We start from the raw sequence: 16618 nt of genomic DNA, 5'->3' as shown, positions 1-16618 counted from the left end.
GTGAACAAAGGTTACCAGTAGAGCAAGGATTTATTACACCCACATATCAATAAAGCACTTTACGAAATATGAGAAAAAGCTTACAAATGGATAGACATCTTTCATAAATCCCTGAAGAAAATGATTCATGTCAATTACATGATAACAGTATTTCTTTTAAAAATGAATATTTTAGCATGAAAAAGATACATAATCAAGAAAAACATTCGGCCGGGCGCAATGGCTCACGCCTGTAATCCCAGCATTTGGGAGGCCCAAATGGGTAGATGACGAGGTCAGGAGATCGAGACCATCCTGGCTAATGCGGTGAAACCCCTTCTCTACTAAAAATAACAAAAAAAAAAAATTAGCTGGGCTTGGTGGCGGGCGCCTGTAGTCCCAGCTACTCAGAAGGCTGAGGCAGGAGAATGGTGTGAACCCGGGAGGCAGAGCTTGCAGTGAGCGGAGATGGCGCCACTGCACTCTAGCCTGGGCGACAGAGAGAGACTCCGTCTCAAAAAAAAAAAAAAAAAAAACACATTCATCCTATTGTTAACAGTAGGTAGCTAGTCAGACATGAGGAAAGTAGGAGAGGCCACCCCACCAAACCACCAGGAATGTCAGGCAACCGTCAGGGGATGGTCAGCTGGTTGTTGATTGTCTCTATAAAATAATGATTGGTCATAGCCAGCACCAGGGAAAGGCCCCGTCTCCCAGTAAACAGAAACATCTGAAATCAGCAGCTTCCTGATAAGATCTCAGGAGCTGGGCAAGTGGGCTCAAGCATGCACGTTAAGAGGAAAAATGGTGGAGTTTAACTGGTATATGACCTTCGAGGGACATTCGACTGGTAAGGGAAGAACGCCTCAAGTGAGCAAGTGTAAACTCCAGTAAACACACTGAGCATGCTCCCCTCCCAAGGCTATTAGGCCACTGTGAATGCAGACAGCCCACCCCAAGAAAAGAATCAGGGGAGAAGGGACACGAGCCCCCCCAAAGCATGCCAACATATAAAATCCCACGTCAAAGGTCAAACAGTGCACTTGATCTCTCAAGCCACCCGCTTGGCCTTCTTCCAATTGTAATTTCCTTCCTTTCATTCCTGCCCTGAAGCTTTTTAATAAACTTTCACTCCTGCCTAAAACTTGCCTCAGTCTCTTCTTCTGCCTTATGCCCCTCAGTCAAATTCTTTCTTCCGCAGAAGCAAGAATTGAGGCAGTGGCAGACCCGTACAGATTCGCCACCGCTAGCAATATTATCACCAGGAACTTTTTAAAAAATCTGATAATAGGTTTCAGGACACACTACCCCAAAATATGGCAGCTTGGCACTGGAGAGAACAGCAGAAGCAGGAAGGTAGTCTCACTATCCCTTTGCCCTTCTTCCTTGAAGCAGGTCATAAAACCTTCATTCCAGAGGCACCCTTCCTTTCCCCAGAGGATACGAACATTCTTATTCTCGAAGACACAGGGACTCCAAGAAGAAGCTGAACAAGCAGGCCTTGCTAAACTCCCCTAGCGGGCTACCATTCAATCATATTCCTTTTGTGCAATCCAACTCCTGCACAACTGACTCTACACTCCAGCAAGCCTAAGCATAAACATATACAGGTTTCCCTGGTTCTTTGAGTCCTCATTTCTGAAGGCTCTCATGTAATGTAAAACTTACATGAAATAAATTTTGATGCTAATCTAGTCTTTTGTTATAGGGGTCTCAGCCATGAACCTAGAAATGAGTGGAGAAAAGATATTTCTTTTCCTTTACACAAACAACACATTGCAGAGGCTTAAACTAACCAAGGTTTCTTTTGTGCCTACATGAAGTCTGTAGACCAGGAGATTGTCCAGGATCTCTGTGCACTCAGTGATGGCTCAGCATCTACGTAACAATATGTGCTGCCATGATCATTTCCAGGGAGACAGGGCTCAGAGAGTCTCGCCCTAGCAATGAAATACTTTTGAAGAGATTAACATTACTTTAAACTAACAACACGTGAACAGTCATCAGTCACAGAAAGAAACATTATCTAAACTTAAGCAGATACACCCAAGAAAGTACAGCTGAAATAGGAGAAATGGCCACCCCTGTCCTTCCGAGGGAGTTTCCTGTTTGGCAGAAGAATGACTTTTAAATATTAGGAAGTATGAATTCAGCTTCCCATGAGCATTTAAAAGCCCAATAGAACCTTCCATACTTTCTCACTGAAGTCCTAAACTCCCCCTCTCCTTTTCTTGCTAGTGGATAAATTGGTGTATAACCTTTTAGCTTTGGACAGACATCTTTCATGAATCCCTGAAGAAAATGAGTCATGTTATTTACATGATAATAACATCTCTTTTAAAAATGAATATTTTAGAATGAGAGAGATAATCAAGAAAAGATTTATCATATTTACTCATTACTAAAGGGGATTTACTTGTTACTAAAGCACTCCCCAGTGTACATGGACATGGTTAATAAACTTGTCATTTCTCCTGTTAGTTTACCTATTGTCCATTAACTCACAGGGCCCCAACAATCCAAGCCTAAAATGGTAGAGGAAAAGTTTCCTCCCAACACTTTCTACACAGGTCACTTCCATTCACACTTCATGGGCCTAAGAAAACTAAGTGGCCAAGCCTAAATTCAAGGGGGTGGGAAAGTGTGTCACTCCATACACCCAGAATTAGAAAATAGCCAGAGATTGATGAACACTTGTAATGTCTACCTCAGTGGGGCTTGGAAAAGAAATGAGCTTCACTCACAACTAAGTTAAAAACAAACTAGGTATAGAATGAGCATAAAAAATCACTCTTCTGGGGGTCATCTGTGTTGTAAAAGATGTATCCTACAGCATGACGGGAGACAGATTTATCTCTTTTCCATAGGTGTATTTCCTAAGCTTTTAGACAGAGGCAGGTACATATATGAAAACAATTGATAGGAAAAGTCTTTAATTCCTAGTCATTCTGAATACCAGTAAAAAGAATAGTATAGGGCAAAAGAAATATCTTTTCTTCCTATCTTAGGTTCATGGCTGAAGCCCCTATAACAAAAGACAGATTAACAAGAGAAATGCATATGAATTTATTTAATAGAAGCTTTACGTGACACAGGAGCCTTTGGATATGAAGATCAAAGAAACAGGTAAACTTGTGCATTTTTATGCTTAGGCTTAATGAAAAGCGAACAGTCATGGGGAAGTATGATTAGAGGACAAGATGGGTGTGATCTAAAGGTAATCATAGCAAGGCCTATTGCTGAGATTTTTCTCAGAGTCCCTGTGTCTTCACAGATAAAGATACTCCTTTCCTCTGGGTACAGAAAAGATACATCTCAAATGAGGGTCTTATGACCTGCTTCAGGGGATGGTAAGAAAATTCTTTCTACTTTCCTAGTCTGCTTCAGAAAAGAAGGTGGGAGAAGTTTCAGGAGGCCTTCCTGCTTCTACAATGTTCTCAGTTTCCCTCAGCTTAAAACACTCAGTATTCCAAGTGCCCCTATATTTAGGGGTAGCATGTCCTGAACGCTCTCATTAGTTTTGATTTGTTGGCTTTCCATAGGGGTTTAAGGAAAACCAGGAAAGAGAAATAAAAGTTGGATGGTAACAGTGAGGGAGGTAGAAAAATTAGAAATTCTTATTCATTCCCTGTAAAAAACTCAGGCTTCAAACCTAGTGGAAGATCTGTTCTTTTACTTGGCTGTTTAAACAGTAGGTTTGTAGGAAAGGATGTAGAACAAGTTGTTATTTGCATCTGGAGAAAGAATTGGTTAAACACTGAATGTTCATGTTTGATATTGTCTGAAAAGTTACTCATGATGTTCCTGTTTGGAAGCTGGGGTAGTCAGGGATGACACACTACGGCTTCCCTATCAGGTTTCCTGTGGTTCAAGAATAAAGGGAACTGCAGGCTTCCCACCAAGCACATACATTTGCAAACTGCCGCGAGTCAGTTCCCAAGGCCAGGGTCTGGCCCTTGACAAAGGCAGCTGAGCGGCAGACTTAGTCTATTTCACTCTCCCTGCCGGGCAGACCCTGCATCTCAGGAAAAGCTACAGGATTCCTTCCTTAGAGAGCTACAGAGCTCATAGTTAGGGGGAATTGTCAGGAATAACTCAATATTTCCTTTCCGTGATAAAAGAAACACTTTCATTAAGGAAATACCTTCAGCAGAGCTTCTCACCCCTGTCTCGCAGAAAGCAAGGAAAATGGAAAAAGAGCTATTTATCACAAATTGGACTTTAAAAACATACTCATTTCTTGATGAGTTTGGTTGGTTCCATAGGGATTACAAGCTTGTGGGCAAGGCTTTTGAATACGTTCAATTCTCAAATCAAGGACTCAATGAAATTCTCAAATTTCATCAAGGACTTAGTATCTAATTAATTCCATCACTGCACTTCTGAAGCTTCCAGCTAGACCTATTAAAATCTGCCTAGATCAATGAATTTATCCCCATGTGTAATTGTAAAATACGTAACCTGAATATATGTTACACAGTGAAACTTCCCTTCACAAGTGTGCTTTTCTGGGCTTCAGCTTTAGATAATATCAGAAGTTACTTGTTTATTCCTCTTCAAAACTCTCAGTGAAACTGGCGAGGCCTAATATGTATAAAATGCTTGCTATGCTGAAAGCCCTGGGCTGCACACATAACAAGGTTGAAATCATTTAATCCTCACCTTCTCCTCTCAACCTCATGAACAGGTACTATTCTTATAGTCATTTTTCAAATGACAAAGCCCTAGGTCACACAGCTAAATCTGGCAGAGAGCTCAAACTGGGAAGCCTGACTTCAGAGCCCATAGCCCTAATCAGCACATTCTATACTTCTAGTTAAGGCAAGATGTTCATTTTCCATAGGATTGACCATCATGCCACAGAGGCCTTTGCGTACTCCTTGAATATTAGAGATACTTGGCTCATAGTGTCCATGAAAAGAGTCAAACTCTGTAAAATTTATTACAGAAGAATATTATTCTGTATTCTGTATTCTGAAGAAATTTATTCTGAGCCAAACATGACTGACTGTGGCCCGTGACACAGCCCTCAGGGGGTCCTGAGAATGTTTGCCCAAGGCGGTTGGGTCCAGCTTGGTTTTACACATTTTAGGAAGACATGAGACTTCAGTCAAATACATTTAAGATGTACATTGGTTCAGTCCAGACAGGTAGGGCTACTCAAAAGGGAGGGATGCTTTCAGGTGGTACGTAGATTTAAAATTTTTCTGGTTGACAATTGGTTGTGTTTATCTAATACCTGGGATCAATAGAAAGGAAATGCCTGGGTTGGGATAAGAGGTTGTGGAGATCAGTTTTATCATAAAGATGAAGCCTCCAGGTAGCAGGCTTCAGAGAGAATAGATTGCAAATGTTTCAATCCGACTTAAGGTCTATGTTATGTTAACACCAGAGAGGTATAATGAAGCATGTCTGACCCCCCACTTCCCATCGTGGCCTGAACCAGTCTCTCAGGTTACATTTTAAGAGCACCCTGGCTGAGGAGGAAGTCCATTCAGATGGCTGGGGAGCCTTAGAATTTTATTTTTGGTTTGCAACAGATATTTATCCAGTTTCAACTGATTTGAATAATTACCTAATACGGATAAAAGATAAACTTGGAATATAAGTAAAGAAAATGTTATATTATGACTGTTAAAAGCTCAGGTTGTCCAACATGCATGTGTTTTTCAGAAGACCTAGATGCATGGGTACCTTTGGCTACATTAAGGACAGACAGCAGCAAGGGGAGCATAACATTTGAATGTTTGCACATCAGGGTTTCGTGTGTTACCTGACTTAATCTTCATAGCGTCTTAAGAGAGAGGTTGTGTTACCTTCATTTTTCCGATATAGAAATGGATTCCCAGAGGCACTTAGTAACATTTCAAATAGTCGTTAAGTGGCATAGCTAGGATCGGAGCCTGGGCATGGTCCCCACTAGCACAAATGCACGGGGCTTAGTTACCCCCAAAAAAGGGGAGCTGAGCTTAATCCCTATACAGCTTCCCAGGATTTTCCAGCACTCCTCAAAATTATAGATTACTACGGTGGAACAGAGAAAGATACATTTAGTGCACATTGGCTTGGGCTGAGCATTAGTGGATAAACAGGAAAGAGACAAATAACAAGAGATTGATAGGGCCTGACAGTCCATATGTACCACACTCGTGTGGAGGAGGAGTGGTGCAGGGGATCAGTGACACATCACCAGGCTGAAGATCACAAATGTTCAGCTTGGCCACTCCACACTACCCAACACTAGTCACTTACTGTCTCTGAGCCATATTTGTCTGGTCTTAAAGTGGAGATATCACTAACCCCTGCCATATCACAGAGTCTATTTCTACATAACAAATGAGTCTAAAACAACATATATTTATTACATCACAGTTTCCACTGGGTTCCGGGGCACTTGTCTGGATCTTCTGCTTCAGGCTGTCTCACAGGTAGCAATCAAGGCAATCTGAAGCGTCAGCTGGGGAAAGATTCACTTGCAAGTTCACGTATGTAGAGGTGAAGGGAAAGCTTCCCCTTTGCTGTGTCAACAAAAGGAGTCAAACTCTGTAAAATATTTGAGGGGATTTATTCTGAGCTAAATGTAATAACCATGACCCATGACACAGCCCCAGGAGGTCCTGAGAACATGTGCCCAAGGTAGTTGGGTTACAGCTTGGTTTTATACATTTTAGGGGACAGCAGTTATAGGCAGACATCAGTCAATACATGGAAGGTGTACATTAGCTCAGTCCAGAAAGGTGGAACAACTTGAAGCAGGGGCTTCCAGGTCATAGGTGGATTCACAGACTTTCTGATTGGCAATTGGTTGAAAAAGTTAGGTTATTATCTAAAGACCAAGGTTTTTATTATGCAGATCAAGCCTACAGGTAGCAGGCTTCATAGCTCATATCAGATCTAAAAGGGTGCCAGACACTTCGTTAATGGTCTCCTGGATCAGGGAAAAGATCCAGAAAAGAAAGGGGATTCTCTACAGAATGGAGATGTTCCCCGTAAGAGACAGCTTTTTAGGGCCATTTCAAAACATGTCAAAGAAATATCTTTTGGGCTAAAATACTTGATTTCCTTATGGGTTTGCTAAATGTCGTGTGATTCTATACTAGAGCAAGACCGAAACTAGTTCATGGCCTGAACTAGTTTTTCAGGTTCACTTTGGAATGACCTTGGCCAGGAGAGGGGTCCATCAGTCAGTTGCGGGGCTTAGAATTTTATTTTTGGTTTACAGCTGTCAGAAGGTTGCTGAAAAAAATCAATTGACAAAGGCAGATTAATAGGAGAAATGGCACACAAATTTATTCACATACCATGAGGGAGAATCAAGAATGATTACTCAACATCCCAATGGGGTTCAAATATTTATATAGCCTTATTTTAGAGGGGAGGAGAGTGATGGGAATATAGGTAATTCTGTTAAGGGGCAATAAATGATTATAAGGGAGAATGAAAGAATACTTGGGAGGATGAATGGATAGGGGAACAGAGATTAACTTATAAATGATTCTCTTTGGAAATGGAATGAGCCTGAGGGATAGATATTTCGTGAAGGGGTATAATCAGGTCTGGTTACTTCTTGGTCTTTTTCTCTGCAATAGCTAGTGTGATAACAGGGAGAGGAAGAAAAACTAATTGTTCTTCTTGGTGGGTCTGTCTAGTCTTCATGTGGATAAGGAAAAAGTCATTCCCAGCATCTGTTGATCTCTTAAGAACTTTAATTCAAAATACTCATTATACCAGGGAGCCATATTTTGGGGTGAAATTCCCTGCACTCCTTCACTTACATGGCTATTGGGAGGTTTCAGTTCCTCTCCAGTTATAGAACTGAGGACCCCTCAGCTTCTCTCTGACTGTTGGTCAGAGGCTGCCCTCAGTTCCTTGCCACATGGGCCTGTCCGACAGGGCAATTAACTTCATCAACACCAAGAAGAAAGAGACTGCTGGGAAGACAAAAGTCACAGTCTTTTGTAATCTAGTCACAGAGGTTACATACATCTCATTATTTTTGCCATATGTTTTTGGTAAGAGGCAAGTCTCTAGATCCAGCCTGCACTCAACAAGAGGGGATCACATAAGATGTGAATATCAGGAGACAGGAATCAATTGTGGCCATCGTAGAAGTCTGCCTCCCTACCACAGGTAGGCACTGAATGGAAATCCAACAAGATGATGTGTTTGAAAACACTTAGAAGCCTGGTAAGGTTTAAACGTGGCCATTTCCCTACAGCTTAAATTTTCATAACTAGTATTGAATAGAATGCCATTGATTATTGCATTAATTTCATTCTATGCCTGTTGGTTAGAATGTGAGCTTGACCAGGTATTGGCACAGTGCCCTGCAAAGTAGCTGCCCAGGAACACACAGCTACTTTGTTTGGGTGCCTAGGGACTAGTTAAGGCATGGAAGCTATGCTACCAATAGGTTGACCATCCCTAATCTGAAAATCTGAAATCTGAAAGGCTCCAAAATCAGGAACTTTTTGAGCACCAACATGATACCACAAGTAGAAATTTTCCAAACCTAGCCTCATATGACAGGTTGCAGTCAAAATGCAATCAAAGCTTTGTTTAGGCCAAGAGGGGCAACACACACCTATAATTCCAGCACTTTGATAGGCCAAGGCAGGCTGATCACTTGAGCTCAGAAGTTCAAGACCAGCCTGGGCAACATGGTGAAATCATGTCTCTATAAAAAATACAAAAGTTAGCCAGGCATGGTGGGCTGGGAGTGGTGGCACATGCCTGTAGTCCCAGCTATTTAGGAGGCTGAGGTGGGAAGATCGCTTTAGCCCAGGAGGTCAAGGCAGCAGTGAGCTGAGATCACACCACTGCACTACAGTCTGGGCAACAGAGTGAGATGCTGTCTAAAAAGAGAAAAAAAAAAAAAGCTTGGTTTCATGCTCTAAGTTATTACAAATATTATATAACATCACCTTTAGGCTATGTGTATAAGGTGTTGTATTAGTCTGTTTTCATGCTGCTGATATAGACATACCTGAGGCTGGGCTTGGACTTACAGTTCCACATGGCAAGGGAGGCCTCACAATCATGGTGGAAGGCAAGGAGGAGCAAGTCACATATTACCTGCATGGCAGCAGGCAAAGAGAGAGCTTGCGCAGGGAAACTCCCATTTTTAAAACCATCAGATCTTGTGAGACTCACTATCATGAGAACAGCACAGGAAAGACCTGCCCCCATAGTTCAATCACCTCCCACCAGGTTCTTCCCATGACATGTGGGAATTGTGGGAGTTACAATTCAAGATGAGATTTGGGTGGAGACACAGCCAAACCATATCAGATGTATATGAAACATAAGTGAATTTTGTGTTTAGACTTGGGTCCCATCTCAAGATATCCCATTTGAAGTATATGAAAATATTCCAAAGTTCAAAGCAATCTGAAACACTTCTAGTCCTCAGCTTCCTGAGTAGCTGGGACTACAGGCACATGCCACTGCTCCTGACTTGACAAATAACTTTTTTTGTTGTTGTTTGTTTTTTGTCTGTTTTTGAGACGGAGCCTCACTCTGTCACCCAGGCTGGAGTGCAGTGGTGTGATCTCAGCTCACTGCAACTTCTGCTTCCCAGGTTCAAGTGATTCTCCTGCCTCAGCCTCCGGAGTAGCTGGGATTACAGGCACATGCCAACACACCGGGCTAATTTTTTGTATTTTTAGTAGAGACAGGGTTTCACCATGTTAGCCAGGATGGTCTCAATCTCCTGACCTTGTGATCCGCCCCCATTGGCCTCCCAAAGTACTAGGATTACAGGCGTGAGCCACCATTCCCAACCCGACAAATAACTTTTTTAATGAGCTTCTGAAACTCTCTACTTTGTAGTCTCCTTCTACCCAACCCCTAATAAATACTTTATAAAACATTTGAGAATACACAAGGCTTCTTAAGAACATAGTTATCACATGATCCCAGAAATGACTTTATGTGATTATGGTGCTGGTGGATCAGCCACCTCCTGGGATACTCCCCTCTCTGTAAGCTCTCATTTTCTTCAAGGTCCTCCTCAAATCCTACTCCTTCTTGACATCTTTAATTACTCAAGCCAGTACCAATTTTTTTCTTTATAAATAAAATTATTTTATACCTAATGTTACTGTCTTATGACAAAGCACTTTAAATGTTTATATTATTTGTTTCATGGGGTCAATTTTTTCTCCACAAGATGCTTACAAACTCCTTAAAAGCAGAAACCCTGTCATATGAATGTGTGCTCCACATGCTGTTCCAGAGCTCGTTAGCCGTGGGTTGAACAAACAGCTGAAAGGAAAAGGCTTAGAACTCTGTAAATGTGGAAGTTGGAAATTGGCTCAGTTCCACACTCAGCCCACACAAACCACTTCCCACACTAGTGTGGACATGCCCATCTTTTCCTGGACTATAACCAACTTTGAAGATAAGAACTATTTTTTACTCATCTTAGACTTCTCTCTTCTTCACTTTGTACCAATGCCCACATCCCCTGGAATAAAAATCCCACTCAAGTGGTTTGCAATTACACTGATCTGGCCCGGAAGTTATACCAAAGACCCATTAACTAAGAAATGAATCCAGTGCTAGAAAGATAAATGGTAGATTCAACACCAAGAGTACATTCTGACATGGCTACCTGGAGCCTCTGACTGGGGACCCCCTTTATTTACTAACCAAAGAAGATCAGCTGACCCCTGTGATACTATGGGTTTCCTACCCTTGCAATCCCTCCCACACCCAACGAAAAATATATAAATAAAAGCAGAAACAAAAAGAGACCATTTCCCCTCTTCCAAACCAGAGAGACCAGAATTCTTACAGATGGGGTCTATTCTGTATGGTAGGTACTTTCAGGTAGTATTGGACGTATGTAGGAAAGCCCTGCCCGGGCCTCTCCAATTAAATGGTGCCATCCTATGACCTGAGCAGCCTGCCAGCCTCCACCTCTACCTGGGCCAGGAGTCATAGATATGTGACTAACTGAGAAGATAAATTAACTTTGTTTATTTACTGGGCAGAATTAATCAATTCTACCACATTTTTATGTTATTTGGTGTTTTGCCAATGTCAATTCCATCTGTAATAGCTCCTTTCCAAGACCCAGACAATCTGTGTGTTTTATCTCATCTTTTTTCTGCAATCTGTGGGTTTTAATCACTATTAGCTGAGTTTCCCAGGAATTGAGGCAGCTGAGGAGTTGCAGGAGCCAGAACAACTGGCATGTGTCAGAGGGCAGGTAAATGCACTCCCACAAATGTGTGTTGGGCATTTACTTTATGCAATGTGCTGTGTTAATTGTTTGGATATGAAGACGAGTCAGATACAAGTCCTACCCTCAAAGAACTCAAAATCGTTTGTGGGAGATATGTTTGTTCCCCTTACACATACACAGACACACACCTAGTACAAGCGAGAATATGCCAAGTGATTCAGCAGAGGGATAAAACAGGTGCTGAGAGAAGACAGACGAAAAAGTGCATTCGGACTGGGGATATCAGGAACTTCACAGGTAAGTGAACATTTCAGATAGAAACTAAGACACAGTTACAATAGGCAAAGAAGACGTGGTTGTTACACTGAAGACAAATTGGCAATTGGTGGGTGTGGTTTTAGAATAAAAAATTAGTTTGACTTTTCATGCCATGAAGTTTCAGTAATAATAATAAAACTTTAATTGAGGTATTTCAACAATATACAAGATTATGAGGCATTCTATTATAAACAGAATAATGCTTTATTTAGTTATTCTATTGATAAGCATTATGCAAAGACATGAGTTTGGGTCTAGGAAATGTATGCACACAAAACAGGGAATATCTTTATTTCTGCTTCTGGTGGGCTACACAGTCATAAAGAGTTGAGAGACAACTGAGAGACTATGTAAACTGAACTCATTTTACCCACCAGTAAACTGTCAGCAATAGAATTTACACTAGAACCCAAGTCTTCTGATATTTACTCTCAAGTACATTCCACTAAAACCACCCTGGGAAGCTCCTGGGAGAGGAGGACCTTCTCTTCTTATTTATTTTTTCGGGAATGGAAGGACAGAGATAATGATGGGAAACTCATCTCATCCCACGGCCTCATAGGTAGTTACTTTTGCTTAGTCAGGAAGTTCACTCCTCCCAGATGGCCAGCTCAGGACCACCCTCCAGCCTGTCCTGGGATCCTGCCCTGCCTGATGCCCTTCCCTCTCTCTCCCAGTCTCACAGCCCTTTCTCCGTGGGTCAGCGATGGCTGCTTCAGGCGGGCTGGTTCCCTACCCTTCACTCTATTTTCTCCTCCATAGTTTCTAGTATTAACTGGGTAAGAGAAGCAAGCGTGCAAGCATGAAGACCCAAGGAGAATAGGATTTTCATCTGCTTAGTTCACTGCTGAGCAATGTTTGGCACACAGTAGGCCTTCGGTGTTTTCTGAATGAATGGAAATATTTTTTCTTTCCACCATTCAGTTAAATATTTCCATCCAGTGGAAATGTCTTCATGACTTCAGTCACTTCATCCAGGCTCTGGGGAACCAGGCCACCCCGTTACCACCCTCACCGGTATTAGCAGTCTTCGTGGGGAAGACAGATTAACACAGGCACTTTCAATTCCTTTCTTGGAACTCCATTTGGACACGCAGCTCTCCCTTTTTCCTAGTCATTCTGTTAATATTAATTTTGTAAACCCTCCAGATAAGGAACAATAACTTCAGTAAGCTCTTGCCCACGTCAAAGATTATATTACAAAGATGGACTACAGAGAGCAAAACACAGTTGGCAAGACCAAAAGCTCATGAAGATGAAGGATAAATTACCCAAGGGAATAACGGGTATATAAATACTTAACACATATATATTATACTAAGATATATTATACTATTATACTTAGTATATATATTACATATACTAATTATATATAATATATACTAAGTGTAACTTCTAAAATGTAAATGTATTATATTATAAAATATTGATTATTAAAATTTAAATTTTATAAAAACCTTTTTAAAAGTCTGTCTCTTTCAACAAAATGCCTAGACAACATCTGCTTCTAACACTAACCTACTCTGATAGGTAATTCTCTTCAATCGTGTTCTTCAACTGTGCAAAAAATAGTATTGCATTTTCTTAATATTCTAAGGAAAATACTCCTACCTCTTTTATTTCATGCTGTACTTCTTTTACATGTTTTTCTTGTCATCTCTTTTTATCTAGAAATTGAATGCCTGTTTCAATTTCATACTCCTTGGTTTCATTCCCACAAGTCTCTAAAAGTTAATTGGGTGGGTATTAAGACCTCTCACAAATTATCATAGTACTTAAAAGCAAAAATTTTAAGACAGAGCTACCAGATGTTGAAAAGGAATGTAAATAATCTACCATCTCTACACCTTCAAAGATATATAGGAGTCGCAACCAGTGTGGTTATCATTGTGGAAATACATCAAACCTGTTCATACTAGTTTTTATCTAGTTATGCAGAACATTTTTATCAAGTATCTACTGTACACCAGACCCTGTTCTGTATGCTACGATAGAGTGAATAGAATCCATGTCCTCATGAATTTTTCTCAGTTTTCCTATTGTGTGTATATGTGTTTGGGGTGGGGATGGAGAAGACTTGCCTGAAGGTTTGGAGAAATGTCATAGAAACTCAGTTTGAAATTGAATATTACAACCTCTTGTCTTTCAAAAAACAGCTCCTTGGCCATTTCCATCTTGTAGCTCCCTATATCAGTATTAAATGGGTTTATTATTATAGCTTTATGAAAAATCTTGATAATTCCCACCACTTTACTTTTATCTGAAAAACAATCTTGGCTATATTTTCAGTCTTTACTCTTTCATATAAACTTTTGAGATCAACTTATCAAAATTCATGAAAAACCCTGCGGGAATTTTGGTTAGAACTAGGTGCTCTTGTTTTTAATTCCAGGAAGAACATTTTGATATTAATTAATTTTGGAGGTAAGGTTATTGTTCATAAACATTCACACACCTACCTTCTTAGATGGGATGTGTTTGCCCATCACTTGTTTTGGAGCTGGACAGGTGGTTTGCTTTGGCCAATGGCATGAGGACTGAAATAATGAGATCAAATGCTTGAAAGATATCTCCATGATTGGGCTTATATTCTTGTACCTTAATCATCACTGAGAGAAGACAAATTAAGACTAGTCTGCTGGTCCAGGGAGAATAATGCAGAGCTGCCCAGCTGAGTCCACCCCAGATTGGTCAACCCCTATGCAACCTGCAAATGCTTGAGCAAGTTCAACTAAAATCAGTAGAATTGTCCAGCTGACCCATAGATATGTAATAAATAATTGCTTACTGTTGTATTCAACTAGATGTTAGGGATTTTTGTTACAAAGCAGTAGCTTCCTCTTACATTGCCCTAAAATTAAAACTGAGTTTTATAAATATTTGTAACAAATACAAGTTGTTTTATCTGCCCAGAAGAGCATCCTACTTTTCTTCTGCCCATTCTGATCATGTAGTTGTGGTAGGACATCTAATCTCAAACTCTAGACCCCTGACAACAGGTATTGGCACGTGACCAGGCTGAGTCCATAATGCTGTCTACTTCACATGACCACAGAGATTTGTCCAGGGTCAGGTGGATGACCTAAGTGAGGCCCATCATAACCCTTCCCATGGAATTTTCTCATTGAAGCTACAAGTGGAAAGTTTTCTCTTTTTCCCTGAGTGGGATTGATATGTATATGATTCTAGAAAAGCTGGTAGCCATGTCTTCTACCAGCAGAGAAAGCTGAAAAAGTTAAACCACCATGCACAGAGAAGCACTGAGTCCTCAAGGTGTTCTAGCCTGTGGTTCGCATAGACCCTGATCTTTCCAAGGCCTAATTGTTCAGTTCTTCACTCAGTCCTATGAGTCACTCCCAGTATCCTTCCAGCAAGTTCCTATTTATGCTAACAGTGATGCAAGTTAAGTTTCTGTTATATTCAATGGAGAGAAACCTAACTAATACAATAATTTTCTAAATTTAAATGAATGACAAAATAACCCTACTCAATCAGATAAATTGACAATTTTATGATTCATTTAGCAATCTTTCTACAAAATGCCAACTTTTGACACTTTATCTTAAAGTTTTTGATTGGCTACATTTCCTCTTAATTTAAAAAAATAAATTGTGAATTCATACTTCTGGCACTTCATACTGGATGAATAGTAGTTTTCAATATTTAAGTAGGTCGAAAGATTCTTGCACAAAATATTGGCCCTTCTATGGACACCTTTGAGCCAGTCCAACTCTATAAGAAGAGGAGATGACCCTGAATGCATAAAATCACAAAATCCTATCATAGTAAAATATTTGAGATATTCCCTTCAATTTACTGCATTTAAGGCCTTTGTGAATGAATTAAACTATGAACTGATTATGACCCTGTGCATTAGGCAACACATGAATATTTGAGGGTGAAAGAGTACACAGTAGGGGGTGAGAGTGCAGGCCCAGGGAATAGCCTGTCTGAGATCAAATTCTGGCTCCGTCCCTTAATAGCTATACCTTGTGACAGTTTCTGACCTCTTGGAACTATGTTTTCCTTAACAGGAAATTAAGGTGGTATTAATAATACTTCCACTATATGGTTGATTTGATTATTACATGAAATAATATATGTAAAATGCTAGATATGTATGGCTGATGCATAAGGGCTATGAGAGTGATGGCCATTAATAATAACAATTATTCTAGGTCTTCCATGATTCTAGGATCTCATGCTTTATTCTTATTTCCAAAGATAGCACTTCGAAAAACAATATACAGAGATCGTTTTACTCTAACATTGTGAAGAATGCATTTAAGGACTTAAGACTGGCTATTTAAACAGTTTCTGCCCTGGAGAGAAACAGTAAAGACAAAAAATGTATTATATTAATACCCATTTATAAAGACATAAACAAATATATTCCTTTCTAAAGTTAGGATTTAGGTACATATTACTCTGCAAAACATTATAAGTACTTATCAGAATAAAAAATATATTTATATGACTGCCAGAAAACTCAGAGCTATATTAAATTTCCAACAGCTCCAAATGCTAGATCTGTGATGTCGAGTGGCAATTATGCATTTGCTGCTTTTAATCAATTGTGTGTTTTTAAAATTGTGGCTTGAATTCTAACTAAATAGGATAGGGGATAGATAGATAGATGATAGATAGATAGATAGACAGATAGATAGATAGATAGATAGATAGATAGAAAAAGATAAGTACCCAGAATCTGATCCTACATAGAAAGTTATCAGTGAGTTTTCTACTAGTTTAGATTATAGAACACCAGTGCAGATGGAAAAGTATATTATGACACAACTGAGGGGTATAGCAAATTTTTTGTGTGGCTTTCTTTTTTTTTTTTAGAGTTGGGGTCTCGCTCTGTTACCCAGGTTGGAGTACAGTGGCGTGATCATGGCTCACTGCTGCCTTGAACTCCTGGGCTCAAGCAACCCTCCCACCTCAGCCTCTGGGGTAGCTAAGACTTACAGGCATGTGCCACCACACCCAGAAATTTTTTTTATTTTTTACAGATGGGGCCTTGCTATGTTGCCCAGGGTGGTCTCAAACTCCCAGCCTCAAGCAGTCCTCCTGCTTCAGCCTCCCAAGTCACTGGGATCACTAGCATGAGCCATCACACCCAGCTTATGG

The 16618-nt window shown here is 40.4% G+C and overlaps 1 annotated feature.

Annotated features, from left to right (window-relative positions):
* Window positions 3619-4245: an enhancer, noted in NCBI's record as "OCT4-NANOG hESC enhancer chr6:137618853-137619479 (GRCh37/hg19 assembly coordinates)". NCBI's record gives its function as "activates a minimal SCP1, AML or CMV promoter by ChIP-STARR-seq in naive H9 embryonic stem cells {active_cell/tissue: H9 hESC(naive)}" and the evidence as "EXISTENCE:reporter gene assay evidence [ECO:0000049][PMID:30033119]".

Source organism: Homo sapiens, chromosome 6 (assembly GCF_000001405.40).
Source record: "Homo sapiens chromosome 6, GRCh38.p14 Primary Assembly".
NCBI lineage: Eukaryota > Metazoa > Chordata > Mammalia > Primates > Hominidae > Homo > Homo sapiens.
This window is presented reverse-complemented; position numbering and strand designations above follow the sequence as displayed.